The following is a 19,017-nucleotide window of genomic DNA, read 5'->3' on the forward strand; positions in this document are numbered from 1 at the left end:
TCCATATCCCTGGCCTCCTTCCCAGTGCCTGCCCAGCTGGAGTGCTGGGTCCCAGGGGTCATCATGCAGCAGGGCCTGACACTGACCAGGGAGCCATGGCCACAGGCTCTTGGCAGCTGGCCCAAAACAAATATTCTCCATGCCCTCTGACAATCTGCTAGACCCTCACCTCTCAGTCTTACTGAGCCACTCCATTAACTGGAGGCAGACCCAAAATTGCCCCACAGGCTGAAGGTGATAATTGTCTGCAGACAGCTGAAGCAGCTGCATCTCCTGGAAGACTTTGATCTCCTGCAGCTAAAGGGAAGGACAAGTGGAAGATGTGGACAGGAGGTTCCAGGAGACAGGGATTATGAGATTTCAGGGGACAGGCCTTGAATGGACACCCAAAAGTGAGTACTTATCCCCATTACCACCCGATGGCACAGGGTGTTGCCTCCATCCTGGGCACATTTTCCAGTTATCTGGTGATGGGAGACCCTGCCAGAAAGGATTTTGTGGATGGGAGTGAGCCTGGGATGGGCAGGGCTGGAACCAGGATCCTGAGGCTTGGGAGAAGAGAATCCAGGATTACATCCTTAGATCTCAGCACTTGGCAAACCTCCTCTCATGAGAGCCTCACGGCTGCCTCTGTGAACTGAGGCTTCAGGCCTATGAATCTATGAATCTTCCCTATGAATGTTGAAGACTCCACATCAGCCGCCAGTCCCTGTTCTCTAAGTGGTGAAGCTGCAGAGCTGCCTGCTTGCAAAGCCCAGTGAGGTTTGGCCTGAGCTGGACTCAGACTCTCCCTCAGGTGGTGCCAATGGAAGGAGAGTAAACTTCCTACTAACCGGACCTGGGTGAAAAATGTTGAAGGGAACTTGTGGGGAAGAGAGGTAACGGGCTGTTTTCTGGGGCTTTTCTCTTAAGGGCCTCTTCCTGTTCTCTAATGCCAGGCAGCCCCAACCTATTTTCAGAGTTGGATACAGACAGCCCCTCCTCCAGGAACTGGTTTTTGATTTCAGTCCCCTACTCACACCCTCCATTGTGATGGGTCTCTTTATCTGTGTATCAAACCTTTTCAATAAATCTAAGATGCAGAGGATGGAATCTAAATCTGAGATTGCAGAGGCTCCATCCTCTGCATCTTAGATTTACTGAAAAGGTTAAGCTGGGTGCAGTGGCTCATGCCTGTAATCCCAGCGCTTTGGGAGGCCAAGGCAGGTGGATCACTTGAGGTCAGGAGTTCAAGACCAGCCTGGCTAACATGGTGAAAACCCATCTCTACCAAAAATATAAAAAATTAGCCAGATGTGGTGGTATGCACCTGTAATCCCAGCTACTCATGAGGCTGAGGCAGGAGAATCGCTTGAACCCGTGAGGTGAAGGTTGCAGTGAGCAGAGATCATGCCACTGTACTCCAGTCTGGGCAACAGAGCAAGACTCTATATCAAAATAAATAGATAAATAAGTTAGATACACAGAGTATTCTCCCCAGGGGCATCTGTGAGTTTTACCTCTCCACTCTCCCCCAGTGTTGCCCCAGCTACTCACCTTCCTTTTTTTTTTTTTTTTTTTTTGGTGTTATTCACATTTCCCTGGAAGTCAGACAGCCAGTGTTCATTAGAAAGGCCCCTTAGACCCTTAGACTAGGTCCCCTCCCCACTCCCTTCATACTGCATTACTGCCAGGGCCACCAGGGTCAGGGCATGTGCACAAAGCAGGAGTTGGGTCTGCAGCAGGTTCTGGGGTTCAAAGAACAGAACAATGGGAGCTGAGGCTCAGGGACCTCCCGCCCCAACTCTCTCTGATGACAGAAAAACTGGAGGCTCCCATTAAAAAAGTGCTCAGGCTTATATGAGCTGCCTGCCCTTAGAGAGGTCTAAGTTTACTCTCCTTCCATTGGAACCACCTGAGGGAGAGTCTGAGTCCAGCTCAGGCCAAACCTCACTGAGCTTTGCAAGCAGGCAGCTCTGCAGCTTCACCACTCTGGGAACAGGGACTGACGGCTGATGTGGAATCTTCAACATTCATAGGGAAGAGGGGCCTGATGCCTCAGCTCACAGAGGCAGCCGTGAGGCTCTCATGAGAGGAGGTTTGCCAAGTGCTGAGATCTAAGGGTGTAGTCCTGGATTCTCTTTTCCCAAGCCTCAGGATCCTGGTTCCAGCCCTGCCCATCCCAGGCTCACTCCCATCCATATAATCCTTTCTGGCAGGGTCTCCCATCACCAGATAACTGGAAAATGTGCCCAGGATGGAGGCAACACCCTGTGCCATCGGGTGGTGATGGGGATGAGTATCCAATTTTGGGTGTCCATTCAAGGCCTGTCCCCTGAAGTCTCATAATCCCCTGTCTCCTGGACCCTCCTATCTACATCTTCCACTTGAAAAAGCCAAAGACACTCAGCTGCCTCTCCCCAACTCTCTCCCCTCCTCCTAGCTGGCCTCCAAAAACATGAACCCCCATGTTCCCATGTTAACTCTGTGGTGAGATTTTTACAAGTCACAATGTTATGTGGTCCCTGCCCCCACTATTTCCCAAATCCAGCTCTTCCAGGCTTTTACTCAGATTTGTCTTATAGAGGCATTTCAGGGACTGTTGCCACAGGAGGGAAGGGCTACGGGAGAAAGGCCCCTTGCTCTTTTGATGTGGAGGCCTCCGGCTGTGAGGGAGGAGCTCTTCCCTCTGACTCCCTGGAGCTCCTCCCCATCACAGGGACACTGCCTTTTTGCTGCTTTAGCCTCATCTGGCCTCTCTGTGGTTTCGTCTCCAGGGTGGCCAACGTGGATGTCTTCATCTGCCAGAGTCAAAGAAAAGGTCAGTGATACTATGCTCCCTTCACCCAGTTATGCCCAGTTACACTGACCTGGTATCCTGGATAACTGGTGTGAGTAAGCTGGTCCAATGCTCCTGTCATCTCCAGTAAGTTCTGATTCTAGATTGACTCCCTGCTCCAACACTCCCTGTATGTGGAACCTTGGGCATGCAGCCAGGCCTCCCTGAGACTGTTTTCTCAACTTGAAAGTGTGATGGGAACCACCTACCTCACTGGGCCTTGTGAGGACTCAGTTATATGTAGCTGTCACCATTGTTCTCATCATCTCAGGAAGAGCCAGGCACAAGCACTCTCAAAGTTCTTTTCTCCTTTGAAGCTCATCATTAGCCCCTCTCAGTCTCATCATCCCTACATTTTTTGGATAAGAAAACAGAGGCCCAAAGAGGGCAGTGACTTGCCCAGGGCCCTAGAGAAGAGGCCGGCTCCTTCCCACACCTGGAGGCACTGACCCAGCTGACTTTACCCCACAGCCCAGCACTATCCCTGACTAGGGTCCCATCTTCGTTCTCCATGCTTGTTTAGGTCCTCAGGCAGGCTCAGCTTTGGTGGGAAAGAAACAGGGTGTTTTGGGAGGTCTGGGTGAGTGGCACTAACCAATCTGCTAGGCCCTCACCTCTCAGTCTCACTGAGACACTCCATTAATTGGAAGCAGACCCAAAATTGCTTCACAGACTGAAGGTGATAATTGTCTGCAGCCAGCTGGTGCAGCTGCATCTCCTGGAGGACTTTGATCTCCTGCAACTAAAGGGAAAGACAGGATGCTGAGACAGGGCCTGCAGCATACACATAACTATAATTCAGAAATTGATATACACACACGTAAATATAATCAGAAAGTGATATAATCTTATATACAACGTTAAATACAAATGTCCCTCAGGCAGGGCCAGGCCCCCAACACAAGGAGAAATCGCTGCCTGAACATGCTGCAGGCAAAAACCTGTCACTCTTTCCTCATTCAGCCCAGTGTCTCATTACATCTCCTGTCGATCAGGGTCTAAATGTGTGGGGCGGAGAACCCCAGCCAATCAGTGGTGCTAGCGTGAAAACTGCCCAATCAGGTGCGCAGCTAGAGAGGAAGAGGCGGGCTCTTCAATATGGCAAGGCCTTCGTCTCCTAGCTTCTAGGCTCTGAGTCCAGTACCCGTCTGTACTATTCCATCTCTTCCGCTCCATTAGCTCCTCGGTGACTCCACCATAGCCCCTGTTATCCTGTGACCTGCAGGTACTGGGAGATCCATAGGGAAGAAGGCGGAACATCCGGAGGCTGGGAAATGGTGAGTGCGCGGAGTGGGTGTCCCGAGAAGGGGGAAGAGGCTGTTTGAATCCGGTCGGAACTGGCTGCGGTGGGATCTTGGCCTCGCGGTCAGCTCTGCAGCAGCTCCGAGTCCCCGTGGGCACAGTTCAGTCCTCACTTCCCTCCGTCGCAGATTAGGAGCTGAGCCTGCAGCCAAAACCCGAGCGTCTTGTTTTGTCCATAAACGCGAATTTCTTTCCAGCCCAGAGACTTTTTGGGCAGCTCTGTGTCGCAATCCCGAGTCTCCTCCAGATTGTGCGGGGACGTCATAAGACGAGAATCCTCATTCAGGGTCTGGAGTTCCTCCGTGGAAGAAGCAGTGGGCCTTGGGGTCCCCAGTCCCTCCTTTCTCCTTTTAAAAATTGTGGCTTATTTTATTTATTTATTTTGGAGACAGTGTCTCACTCTGTGCCCAGGCTAAAGTGCAGTGGCAAGATTTCGGCTCACTGCAGCCTCCACCTCCTGGGCTCAGATGATCCTCCCACCCCAGCTCCCCAAGTAGCTAGGACTAGGGAGACATGCGCCGCCACCTCGCCTGGTTTTGTGGTTTTGTTTTTTGTTTGTTTGGTAGAGACGGGTTTTTGCAATGTTGCTCAGCCTGGTCTCGAACTCCGGAGCTCAGGTGATCCGCCCCCCTCGGGCCTCCTAAAGTGCCGGGATTACATGCATGAGCCACTGTCGTAGCCTAAATTGAGGCATCTTTAGGATATAGTTTCGAAGTGTTTTCCAGCCCAACTCTCCTATTTAAATGTAATACCCCATGTTGGAGGTGGGGCCTGGTGGAAAGTGTTTGGATTATGGGCGTGAATTTCTCATGAATAGTTTAGCACCATTCCTCTTGGTATTGACCTCTCGATAGTGACTGAGTTCCCTGAAGTTCTTATTTAAAAGTGTATAGCAACCCCCTTGCCTTCTTTTCAAGCTCCTGCTTCACCTTGCACCAGGATTTTAAGCTTCCTGGGTGGGGCCCCCCCAGAAGCAGATGCTGGTGTTATGCTTTCTGTACAGCCTGTGGAACCATGAGCCAGTTAATCCTCTTTCTTATAAATTACCCAGTCTGAGGCATTTATAGTAATGCCAGAACCGATTAATACAAACAGTTTATTTGCACAAACAGCAATTTATGAATCAGAGAATATCCAACTATGGTTTGGGGGCTCAAAGGAGAGACTTGGAACAAAAGGCTTTTGTAAGAGGTATGAGGAAGCAAACCAGATTCAGTATTTGATTGGTTACAGTTATGTATTGCATTTGCACCCATCCGGTGGAAATGTCCTGGTTATGTACTTAGAGCTTTATTGGCAGCTTGTGGTTGGTTAAGCCTAAGTTTTGTGTTTTTTTTTTTTTTCTCAAAGTTAGTAATTTGTAAGAAATTCTTTCGACGTAGTTAGGTTTCCTTAGGCAGAATCCCAGAGCATCATGGCCATTTCAGCCTAATTGCCAGCTATTTAGTTATTTTAATGCTCTACAGGGTCCTTGGTTTTGTCTGCAATTTTCAAATGTTTGGCAAGCAGGGTCTCAAATCCAAAACTTCTCCCAGCCTAACTGTTATAGGGACTGTAGAAAATTCTACATTTCCAATTTCTTTCCCACATTCCCCAATGCCGACTATCCCTGTCCAGATCACATTATCAACTATTAGTCCTTTATTTAATTTCAAAACGGACGTGGCATTTTAATTGTTTATTTTTGTTTAAGAGAGCAGTAGGTGGCTCTTTTTAATTTCGTCTGTTCGTGAACATTTCACATAACAGGAAAGCAGAGAGTAATCACCTGACGCTCTGCGCATCTCCTCTCATCTTCTCTAGGCACGCGCGCCTTCCCAGCATGTCTTTGGATCCTTTGCAGGGTGATGTGTCCTCAGTCACTCTCCTGTATTTTCCTGGTTCCAAGTATTACAGCTTTCTGGGGATGATCCAAGATACCCACAAGGACCATGTCTCTTGGAGTGTCTAGCAAACATTAGCCCCTGGGTCATCTCCTTTCAGAGAAGAGCCTGAGGTATTGGGTGGAGCCTCTCAGGGGAGCAGCTGGATGCCCTCGTGCTGAGAGCAGTTTCCTGATACACCCTTCCTCTAAAAAGCTAACTGCTTTAACATTAAGATTTTTTTCCCTCTCAACCCTAGCTTTCCTTTCTGCAGACACATTGGTGCTCAACCAATCAGGTGCTGGTATTGAGGGAAAAAGGCACAAATGCATCTTGCCCTCTGGTTTCTCTCAGGCTTGTGAAGGAGAATAACTGTCCCAAAGTATAGGAAAGACCCACCCTAGTGAGGGCGTGTATAAATTTGCAAAGCAAAATACACATCTGCCACACAGGGGGCAAGTGCAGTGTCTTTTGGGAGAGTGATGATCAAGTACTTTAGTGAGCAGAATGGGGGTGGGAGAATCTCTCAAGTGATTGACACATGAGTCTAAAACATCTGTGTTCCAGTCAGCACTACTTCACCCCGTGTTTGTTGCCTTGAATATATATGTTCAGTTATTTCAACTTCAGTTTTTCATTAATTGTAAAATGGATTTTATCATTAGAGCTTGAAAGATTAAAAAAAACCACAAATGTTTTCTAAGAGAAAAGAGGTAGATTTCAGAAAAAAAATAGTTTATATTCCATTGGTTAAAAATTCTCATTTACCTTTTATGTATTGCACAGTGAATGTAGTAAGATTCTGAGGTCTGTTCTGTTTTAGCATGATTTCAAACAGAATCCCAGGGCTTAGCTTTGGGAATGCTACCTGGGAAAAGACAGAGGAAATGTCTGTCTCATGATGGTTGCAGAAAAATAAATACATTTTTACAAGAAAGTGTGGTAGATTAACACGTAAATTACAAACATTCATGAAAACATCAGTTTCTGTCTCGTGCAGAGTGGAGAATTTGTGGTAGTGGGCAACTCATTATTTTTTAGAAAAATTTCTACTTCATAGGAAATATTTATGTGTACACAATAAAAAAGTATTTGCCACTATACATACATATCTTTGCTCAGGTAATACGTAACCTAAAGCAATATGATTGTCTAGTATAATTGTAGCCAGTAAATCAGTAGCTTTTTTTGTTTTTAAGCTGCAATGGATGCAACAATTTTATCAGTAATTCTTTCTAAGCTTATAAAAATATTTTAAATCATATGTTCATGGGAAGTGACACCTCACCAAGGCAAAAGCATTTTTTCCAATAAAATGCATGAAGGTGTTCTTTGAAAGCCAGGCAGATAATTAGCAGATTTTTTTCAAACAGAATCTTCATCTAAAACAGATTGGTGGCCAAGCCTGCAGAAAGTTAGAGAGAATTTGTCCAGTGCTGGGTTTTTGCAGAGCTATGTATGGAGAGGGCGGTGACCAAATATTCTAAAAGATATTGGTCTTCAATTTAGTGGCACAGGTATTGGCCAAGAAAATCTAATATGGTTCCTTCCAACAAATTTGAAGTAAATCTTTTTCTTCATAAAAATCTTGTTTAAAAAAGAAAATCAAATTTTATTCTTGTATTATTATATTATTATTAAAGCTAATTTTAAGAAAACCTTATAAACAGATGTATTCAGTCTCAGTCAGCTGACCATACAAGATAAGATTTCTAGAAACATTTTATAACCCCTTAAAATTTTCTTTATTCTCTTTCTCCAACTTTATATATCCATTGAATTTACCTCATTTTCTTTATCTTTTATTCTTTCAATTTTATGTATTCTTTAACCTCTAAACCCAGCAAGATTGCCTTCTCTTTAAGAAAAACCACATCCTCTTGTCTCTTTCTAAAATAATTTTTTTCACCAAGAAACACATCTTATTTTCCTTGTACACTCTGTATGTAAAATTGTTTCTCTCCTTAACAATAGTTTTAGTTATTATATCTTAGCCAGAATTTTAATTTTTAGTAATCTGAATATATAGTGAAAGCCTGAGAAGTAAGCAATTTTAACTATTAGTCATGTAGTAAACATTTAGAAATATATATTTTATAATTTTTAGAAACATAGGATTTTAAATGGAAACATTTTTAATGTGGAATAGGACATACTAACAGATCTAAATATCTTTTGTTTCTGTGAAGAAACCAAAAATATTTAGCTTAAACTTATATTTAAAAATTAATATCTTAGCATTTTATCTTATTTAGAGATAATCTAGATGTTTAATGAATAGCCATTATTTAATGTAGGTTAGCAACAATCTAAGATTATAGTTTCCATAAAGATTTGAGAAACTATTTAAACACATTACAAAACAATTAGTATTGTAAGTTTTAAGCTTTTGTCCCATTTACATCTGTTTTATTTATTTATTCTTAATTATTTTTGTAAAATCTCATGAAACATTAGACTAATACACTCATCTGAAGTTAAACTTTCTATTATCCATTTTTGTATTACTGTATTGGACAAGTTATAAAAGCAATAAACTTTCTACATATATATATTTTTCTATATATATATATTTCGCTGAGAAGTCAGAAGACACTGTTTTTTATTAAATCAACAAACTAGTCATATTTGCCAAAAGATTTACTCAATTCACATATTCTTGAAAAATATTTGGGCTTTTTTTTTAATTCATGAAAACTTATTTATCTTTAATTTAGTACCATGTAGATAATATACAAACACATTTATAGACATATACATACATGTAGACCCAAAATATAACTTACTCATGTTTGTATCTAACAGCCCTAGAGAGGGAGTTCATTGTAAAAGGGAGTAGAGCTTCAGGCCCCAAAAAAACCTGTTTACCCACAACTTCCGGGGCTTCATGAGGAAAAACAGGTACCCTGCCAAAGAAGGAGAAGCCTGTGGCGCTTTATCTGTGTTCTTCAAGGGGTCCCAGGCTGCTAGAAGTTTCCTTTAGGTGTCCTCCTTAGTGACAAAAGGTTTTAAGTGGAAGATGAGAAAGATAGAAGTAAATGGAAGAATTAATTCTAGATGAGACAGTTTGAGATTTTGTTTTCCAAACAGCCAGTAAAGTTTTACATTATCCTTGGCAAAAATCATGTCAGCAAGAGAAGAAACAGGCACATAGAGATACCAGTTTAGGGAGAGAGAAATTCAGTTGACAAAAGACCTTATATGAAAAAACCATAGGCCTCAAATTTATGTATGTATAATATGTGTGTGTATGTATGCATATGTATGTGTGTGTGTGTGTGTGTGTGTGTGTGTGTGTGTGTATGTATGTATATATAGCCTGATTGTCAATTTTAAATAAATGGACTTTTGACTGTAGAGCTTTTAAGTTTTTTAAATTTAGATTTTACCCACGTAAATAGAAAACATTTCTTTACTTTTTCTTTCTAAAATTTACATCAAGAAGAAATTTTGGAGATGGGACATTTTTGTTTATTGGAGGTATAGAGTGATCACTATTTAAAGCTGTATTTAAAATATTTAAAACTATTTAATATTTGAACATTTATCTTTGGAATTTTTGAGTAAATAGTTTTCTTTTTTCCAAACCACAGTATACAGTTTTATTTAGTCCTGGAGAGGAGACTAAACAAACAAAGCAACAAAAGTTTCCATTACACTCTAAACATAAACTGAAATTTTAAGTTGAAGGCATATCTGAACTAGTGACTAAAAACCAACACATTCATGAGGCCAAATCCAAGAAATCCTGTATGACTTTAAAACTTCAGAGAAAGAACAAAAAAAATTGTAGCTCTGGTATAATCAAAACTTCTCCTAAGCACAGCTTACCGCAAATGGGGTACAATCTATATTTTCAGGTCGTATTTTCTAGTATCTCAGCTTCTCAGCTTACCATCTGCCCACAAAGGCCAGACACAAGATTTTAAGAAATGGTTGGTAAAACAGGAGAAAAAAAGCTGTCTATGGGAGTAGACAAGTTTACAAATGTGTACTCCAAAAGATCAAGAGTAATAATAAAATAATAAAAACAAATACATTATTAATTAATTATTATGTGGGTAATGTTTTTTGCCTAAGCTAGAGATATTCACTGAAATAAAATTTTGAGGTTTGGTCTAAAAAACTTCAATTTTTTTTTCCCAATTTGATCTTAGCTGGAATGCTGTTTTGCTAATTCTCTGGATGTTAACATTTCAAATACATGGTAAGATTTACGTCTCCTAGAGACTGAGAAAAGACTGGAAAAAGTTAAAGTATGTATTGTAAAATGTACTTTGAAATCTCTTACTAGAATTTAGCCAGGCAAAACAGAAAGAAGGCCTTTCATTAAATTTCATTCTAAAACCTGCCTTTTCCAATTGTGCATGGAAATATATTGATTTAGAACTGTCAAAAGACCTTCATTTTTGTCATTGCATTTTGGGGTCATCTGAAGTCATGTCGGTCCATTTACCCAGGCATTTGCAAGGTGAAGCTCCATAGGTATTATACATAAGTTCAGCTTATGTTTCTAAGGGATGTTACCTAGAAGGAAAGGCATGGTTTTGATGATCAGTTTTCCATAATTTAGAAACTTTTCAAAGGTGATCATGGCCAGAGCAGTGTACCAGGTCTAAGTGTGCTGTGTATGAGCATCACTCCTCAAGGTGTCACCCAAGAGTTGGTGATTATAGTGCTGGGTGAGCAATGCTTATGTTTACCTTCCAGCTTAGCTAAAAGTCTCTGCAGGTGTTTTTCTTTTGGGAAGACCCTGTGATACTGGTACACATCACTGAAACTCATCCTAACACCTCCAGATAGTGAATAGGTCTCATGAGATCTGATGGTTTTTTAAACAGGAGTTCCCCTGGACAATTTCTCTCTCTTTTTTTTTTTTTTTTTTTTTGCCTGCTGCCATCCACATAAGATATGACTTGCTCCTTCTTGCCTTCCACCATGATTGTGAGGCCTCCCCAGCCAGATTGCGCAGGCAGAAGTTTGATGCAGGGGTGTGGCCCTCCTCATGGAGAACATCTGCTAGAGCAGTCCAGGAGGGAAATGTGGGGTCAGAGCCCCCACACAAAGTCCCTACTGGGGCACTGCCTAGTGAAGCTGCAAGAAGAGGGCTAGTGCCCTCCAGACCCCAGAATGGCAAATCCACTGCAGCTTGCACCGTGCACCTGGAAAAGCTGCAGACACTGGATGCCAGCCTATGAAAGCAGCCAGGAGGGGGGCTATACCCTGCAAAGCCACAGGGGCGGAGCTGCCCAAGGCCATGGAAGCTCACTTCTTGCATCAGTGTGACCTGGATGTGAGACATGAAGTCAAAGGTGATCATTTTGGAGCTTTAAGATTTGACTGTCCTGCTGGATTTCAAACTTGCGTGAGACCTGTAGCCCCTTTGTTTTGGCCAATTTCTCCCATTTGAAGTGGCTGTATTTACCCAGTGCCTTTACCCCCATTGTAACTAGGAAGTAACTAACTTGCTTTTTGATTTTACAGGCTCGTAGGCAGAAGGGACTTGCCTTGTCTTGGATGAGACTTTGGACTGTGGACTTTTAAGTTAATGCTGAAATTAGTTGAGACTCTGGGAGACTGTTGAGAAGGCATGATTGATTATGAAATGTGAAGATACGAGATTTAGGAAGGGTACGGGGCAGAATGATAGGGTTTGACTGTGTCCCCACCCAAATCTCATCTGGAAGTCCCACATGTAGGAGGGACCTGGTGGGAGGTAATTGAATCATGGGAGCAAGTCTTTCCCATGCTGTTCTCCTGATAGCGAATAAGTCTCATGAGATCTGATAGGTTTTTTGTTGTTGTTGTTGTTGTTGATTTTTCTTTGGAGACAGAATCTCACTCTGTCCCCCAGGCTGGAGTGCAGTGGCACAGTCTCGGCTCACTGCAATCTCCGCCTCCTGGGTTCAAGCGATTCTCCTGCCTCAGCCTCCTGAGTAGCCAGGATTACAGGTGTGTGCCATTATGCCCAGGTAAATTTTGTATTTTTAGTAGAGATGGGGTTTCACCATGTTGGTCAGGCTGGTCTCAAACTCCTGACCTTGTGATCTGCCCACCTCAGCCTCCCAAAGTGCTGGGATTACAGGCGTGAGCCACTGCACTGGGCTGAGATCTGATAGTTTTAAAAAGAGAAGTTCCCCTCCACACATTTTTTTTTGTTTTGCCTGCCACCATCCATGTAAGATGTCACTCATTCCTCCTTGCATTCCGCCATAATTGTCAGGCCTCCCCAGCCATGTGGAACTGTAAGTCCAATTAAACCTTTTTCTTTTGTAAATTGCCCAGTCTCAGGTATGTCTTTACCCGCAGCATGAAAACACACTAATACACGGAGTGGGCGGGACATGACTGCTTCCTCATTCCTGTGTCTCTGGGCCTAATTATTTAGAGGTTAACTCACATTAATCAGATAAAAAAGTTGTGTCTAATTTCTCATTGTTAATAGATTATGTGTATCCAGCACAGGGGTGGAAGCAGTAGGGGGAGAAGGCTGTTCTGGAACACCCATCTGGGCATAAATACCCTAACCATGAGCTGCCAGGCTCTGTGAGGGAGGCACAGATGTACAGCAGGAATTAGTATATGCAGAGGCTCTCTCAGTAAGTAGCTGTTTTGGGCTGGCTTCTGCTTGCAACGAAAGCCATGCCCTGGATGTGAGGGTGGCCTTCCCTCAATGCACACACATGTCTGAAAGCACACCTCAGTTTCTGGTTGGTCTATGCAGTGAAAGAAAAACTCATCTTCAGGTTTGTCTTCAAAAGGAGAGAAAGATGAGGTTGCTTAGAACCTCAGGAATTAAACTTGCTGGGGTAGAGACCAATATATGTTTCTTGCTATAATCGCATCCTCACACTGACACAGCTCTTTACGATATGCTATGACCAAGGCTCCCTACAGGCACATAGAGGTCTCTCTCTTCTATCTTAATAGCTGCTGAGTGTTCTAATATAGATGGTGGCATGAGACTATTCACCCTTTGCCCTGTGAATAAACATAGCTGCTCTGTCTGTTATTTTGCTATGACAAATAAGGTCACAGGGAATAACCTCAGAAATATTTGTTTAATGTTTGTAAAGCTCTGTTGCACGGTATAGTCATAGAATTGAGTTTCCAGGCTTCAAAGTTAATGCTTAGGTATTTTGTATATTCTCTTCTAATTTGATTGCACAGGATTGTCTGTTTTTTACAGCATCACTGAATATTGTGGAATTTTTTATAACTGAGATGTAAAAATAGATATCTCTCTGTAGTCTTAGTGTACATTTCCATTTTTATGATATTATTTTCAAATTTATGAGCCAACTGCCTTTATTCATCAACTTTTTGTCTATTGTGTTAAATACCTAAAATTGTGTTAAAATTGATGTCTCTAGGATGTTACAAAAATTTTTAGGTGATTTTTGTGTCTTTTAAAGTATTTTAAGGTTGTTCTTTTATATGTTTTACATATCTCTTTAAAATTTTCTCCTAGATGTATTTATTGTAGCTTTGGTAATGTCATCTTTTCCCCCTCATTATATTTGCTAAATTTTCACTGGTTTTCTATATGAAAATTATTAAAAATAATATTGTAAAATATGCATAACATAGAATATATTATTTTAATCCATTATTAAGTGTACATAGGCCGGGTATGGTGGCTCAGGCCTGTAATCCCAGCACTTTGGGAGGCTGAGGTTCGCGGATCACAAGGTCAGGAGTTTGAGACCACCCTGGCCAATATGGTGAAACTCCATATCTACTAAAAAATACAAAGATTAGCTGGATTTGGTGGTGTGTACCTGTAGTCTCAGCTACTCAGGAGGCTAAGGCAGGAGAATCACTTGAACCCAGGAGCCAGAGGTTGCAGTGAGCCAAGATCACACCACTGCACTCCAGCCTGGCAACGGAGTGAGACTTCATCTCAAAAAAAAAAAGTGTACATAAAGTGACAATAAAGTATATTCACACTGTTTTGCAACCATAACCACCATTGATGTTCATAATTCTTTTTGTCTTGCAAAGTTGAAACTCTATGTATTTCCCATTGTCCACTGTCTTATAACCACCATTCTACTTTCCTTCTCTCTGAATTCTACCATTCTCGGTCAGTTATGTAAGTGGAGTCATACAGTATTTGTTCTTTTGGAAATGGCTTGTTTTAGTTAGCATAATGTCCTCAAGGTTCAGCATGTGTCAAATTTATTTTCCCCTTTAAGGGTTAATAATATTTCATTGCATGTAAATAACGCATTTTGTTTATTCATTGCTGAAGACATGGGTTGCTTCCAGCTTTTGGCTATTGTGAATAGTGCTGCCATAAACACAAGCATACGAATATTTCTTCAATCCCCTGCTTTTAATTCTTTTGGATATATATTTAGTAATGAAATAGCTGGATCATATAATTCTATGTTCTAAATAGAAGAATGTTCATTTTATGTTTGTTTTTTTCAAGAAATGTCCACATTGTTTTTATAGTGGCTGCACCATTTTACATTTGCACCAGGAGTTAAAAAACATTCTAATTTCTCCCTCCTCTTTACACCACTTGCTCTTTTAGGGATTATGTTGTTTTTTGTGTAATAGCCATTGTCATGTGTGTGAAGTGGTATTTCAATATGATAGAGCATTGATTTTTATATTTATTTTATAAACAGGTTTATTTTATATCCTGCCACTATGCTAAATCTTGGTATTTGTTGAATCTCTTGGGTTGCTAGGTATATTGATATCATCTAAAAGTAGAAATTATGTTTTTATTTTTTTCCTTTGGGAATCATGTTTGATAAGGCTATGTACGATATGCCAGGCACTATTCTAAGAAGTGCTAAGATAGTAACTCGTGACATCAAAATACAGTGTGAGCAGGAGTGAAGATATAGACATTTCTAAAATTACAGCTGAGAATGTGACAAAAGACATCTAATAGAGAAAAAAGTTGGCTTTAAAAATGGCCTGAAACTTATCCCAACAATTAAAAAGTCAACTTTTATAAGTTACACAGGCTCTTTGTGTCTCACAGCTCTCATTTGTGAAACAGAAATAATAACATATTATTTATTTTATTGTTGAGTATGTTAAGAGGCAGTAATATCCTGACTTGAAAATTAAAATATTTATCAGTGTAGTTAACTGAGTAACAGTAATAAGAATATGTCAATTATTGGAATAGATTAGATAATAGTTTATTTAGTAGGAGCATCAACATTTTCATCCTACAAAAAATGTACATCTTTCTGTTTACTCTTTACAAAACTACTTAGTCACTCTCTATTAATTACTAAAACCTCCTAATTCTTAGTAAGGCCTTTCTAGGGCCACCTAAACTTACAGTCTTTAACCACACTGTTTATCAGGATTCCCTTCTTTAGCTCCTTTTTTCCTTATCTTGCCTGGTGCAAACCACAGTTTTGCTCTGCTTTTCTGTTGTATGTGTTTGTATAAAGACATCTGCCTTTGTGTAAATTCTAACCAATTATAGCTATGACATTTTCCTCAAAACATGTAAATTCTGTGAGTTCTTTTTTATTTGAAATCTCCTATATCTTTACCATATTATGAGCACTCATTTGAAGTAATAAGCATTTAAAAAATACTAGATAAGAAATGTTGAAACAGCCCCCAAAGAATTATTTATAACAAATATTAAACTACAGTTTGTTGAGCATGAAACACTTATGATTACATTTCAATAGGTTCAGTGCTCTCTAAGTATGTTTTTACAATGTATTTTTTAATTAACCTTAGGCAGTATACTGTTTTAAAAAGTAAAACAAAAATCTATTCACAATGGCAAAGACATGGAATTAACCCAAATGCCTTTCAACAGTGGACTGGATAAAGAAAATGTGGTACATATGTACCATGGAATACCATGCAGCCGTAAGAAGGAAAAGGATCATGTTCTTGACAAGGACATGGATGGAGCTGGAAGCTGCTATTCTCAGCAAACTAACACAGGAAGAGAAAACCAAACACTGCATGCTCTCATACTAATAAGTCGAAGCTGAATGATGAGTTACATGGACACCTTGGGGGAACAACACACCCTGGGGCCTGTCAGGGGGCGGGGAGAGCATCAGGAAGAACAGCGAATGGGTGCTGGGCTTAATACCTGGGTGATGGGTTGATCTATGCAGCAAACTACCATGACATACATTTACCTATGTAACAAACCTGCCCATCCTGCATATGTGACCCAGGACTTCAAATAAAAGTTGATTTTTTTAAAAAAGTAAAAAAAAAAAATACCTAAAAGCAGGGGTATTTGTGGTACAAAAATTCATAGTAAACACATACCCACAAACTATTTGAAAACATCATAATCTGATCTCTTAATGCAGTTATATTCTCCTTTATTACTTAATAAAGTATAGATTCATGGCATAATTGTCAAAGGCTTCCATCTATTCCTACCACATATCCATTGTTGCTGATTTTGTTCATTTTCTTTTTTTGTTTTTGATTTGTTAATTTTCCAACAAAGCTGGGATAAAAGCATCTTCATGCTCATGCTATAATAACTTCTCACAATATGCCCTGGGTTACTCAAAAGAAAATGGAGTTGTTTTGCTCATGTTTTTGACACTTGGGTCAATCATCAACAAGTAACAGAAGCCAAGGACATGTGCGTGCCTGTGAGTTACTCAGCATGTGTCAGGCAGGCCCTGGGCTGAAGGGAGACTCCAGGTGTCTCAGAAAAGGGAGGTTCTGCTCTAGTGCACACAGACTGTCACACTGTAAATTGTTCTGTGATGCCATGTTTCTCCCAAGGTCAACAGGAACTGAGGACACATAGGAAGTGAGTTATGAGGTCAGACTCCTTCTCCCATTTAGCTACCAGTATGTGATTCTGCCCACCTGGACACATGCACACTATATAATAATTTGCTCACAACCCTCTTAGGACTAATCTCCATGCTCACAAATTGCATCTACATTTTCTTTGCTCCTAGAGTTTTCAGCCAAATACAAGGGCCTAGAGGACTTTAGACTTATCCCTGTCCCCAGACCCTAAACCTGGTGCATCCACTCAACTGGGCTTCTGAGTCACCTGATCATAGTCTCTTCTACCTGCATAGACACAGAAATAAGCCAGAGCCTAACCCTTTCTGAGCCACCATCTGTGTAGCACAAGTTAGTCTTTCTACTAACTCTGGATTTTCCCCTGCCCATAGGTCCTGTAAAACTAAATAATTCAAAATTTAAGCTGTTTGATATTCTAAATTATTCCAGGCCTCAAAGGAATGTAAACACAAGATCTGGGTAATACGACAGGCAGCAGTAACAAGGCAGCTGTAACCTTTGTTTTTCTGTTTATGGATTATACCTACGTCTACATCTGTATTCTTTTGTCAGGTGTTGTAAACGGCTGAAGTGCCCCATGGAAGACCTCTTTACCCTTCACTATTGACTTTCATTATAGATTAACCTATTGCTTATGGCTATTGCATTGTCTTTTTTTTTTTTGAGACGGAGTCTCGATCAGTTGCCCAGGCTGGAGTGTAGTGGCACGATCTACGCTCACTGCAACCTCCGCCTCCCGGGTTCAAGTGATTCTCCTGCCTCAACCTCTTGAGTAGCTGGGATTACATGTGCATGCCACCACACCCTGCTAATTTTTGTATTTTTAATAGAGACGGGGTTTCACCATATTGGTCAGGCTGGTGTCAAACTCCTGACCTTGTGATCTGCCTGCCTCAGTCTCCCAAAGTGCTGGGATTACAGGCATGAGCCGCCGCACCTGGCTGGCTATTGCATTGTCTTAAGATGAAAATGTTAAATACACTCTTAGGTTGAAAAGGAAAGAAAAACCAGTTGTAAAAAAAAGGTAGAAAAAATACAGTGTAACTGATTAATTTTTTTGTAAATCTTTAACCAGCCTTGTATAGAAACTTGTAGTCTTCTTAAATTTCTTTGTTTTTCGCCTGTAGAAATAAGAACTTAACTTTCAGCTATGAAGCACTCATCTCATTTCACTAGAGCCTTTGTCTCCTGGATGACTGTTTCTAGCTTTTCACTTGAATAAACTCTCTAAAACTGGATGTTGAGGCCTTATTGATTATTCAGATTATTTCAGATTAACAGTTCTTCATAACATCTTTCTTCTGCCTTTACTTCCTGACTAAACCCTCTTTCATGAGAACAAATTGTACCCAATGCCACTCCTCAGGTGCCTGATTCAAATGCCTACTGGAAATCAGATGTCCATGAGTTCAAGGTCATGGCCTTAGACTTGGCTGTTATAAGGGCAAATACAAATTATAAATACCAGACTTAATTATCCAACTTGAAGATAAAAGACATTTTGCTCTCCTCTTTAAAAATAATTTTAGAAAATTTTTATATGTAAATTTGTTTTGTCTCTATTAAATATATGTAAATCATTTAAATAGGTAAATAGGACTTTGTCAGTCTCTTTAAATTAGAAATGTCTTTCTCTAGGACCTGGAAACCATTGCTTTGAAATGTAAATGGTTTACATTTCTGTTGGACAGTAGGTAACTTCATAAAATATTATGAAGCCAAGGAAAGCTTATTTTGCTTTTGAATATAGCCAATTTAAATTTTCATTGAATATACCCAATATATAGATAGGCTTCTCAATTAATAGTTTTATTTAGGATAAACTATATATGACAGAGTATGCTGTTAAGTCTTCTACTTAAAGACTAAATATGGTGATTTTTATTTCTGCTTTTGTAATCTGAGCAGATTGCCTATGATGCATATCACATTCTGGTTTAATTATGTAATAAAACAATTTTCTTCTACCATTTTAGAGTGTCTCTGAGGTTGGAGATAATTTTGTTTTTAATTATGCTTTCCAAACACTGTACAGAATTACCAGACAGGATATAAACACAGAGATACGCACAAGGCTTTAGTTCAGAGAGGCTTTTCTCTCTTTGGCTTGCCCCAAAATCTGCAGGCAGAATATTTCTGTGCCTATTTGTGATACACAGTCCCTTCCAGAGCAGTTCAGCCAGATTTGTAGAAAAATAGCTTCACAGCAGAGCAATCAGCCATTCCAGCCCCATCTTTCAATGCACT

At 40.7% G+C, this 19,017-nt stretch overlaps 1 protein-coding gene across 4 annotated transcripts in view; it reads left to right on the forward strand.

Moving 5' to 3' along the window:
• Positions 1-3,904: 3,904 nt before the first annotated feature.
• ZNF727 (zinc finger protein 727) overlaps positions 3,905-19,017 on the forward strand; it is a 39,906-nt gene continuing 24,793 nt past the window's right edge. For all 4 annotated transcript variants that reach the window (XR_242241.4, XR_927469.2, NM_001159522.3 and 1 more), the window contains exon 1: positions 3,905-4,095. Coding sequence is in view for 2 of the 4 variants with exons in the window: in NM_001159522.3 (NP_001152994.1) it covers positions 4,093-4,095 (3 nt within the window). In the remaining 2 variants the exon portion in view is untranslated. The remainder of the gene's footprint in view (positions 4,096-19,017) is intronic.

The sequence above is a fragment of the Homo sapiens genome, chromosome 7 (genome assembly GCF_000001405.40).
Source record: "Homo sapiens chromosome 7, GRCh38.p14 Primary Assembly".
Classification (NCBI taxonomy): Eukaryota; Metazoa; Chordata; class Mammalia; order Primates; family Hominidae; genus Homo; species Homo sapiens.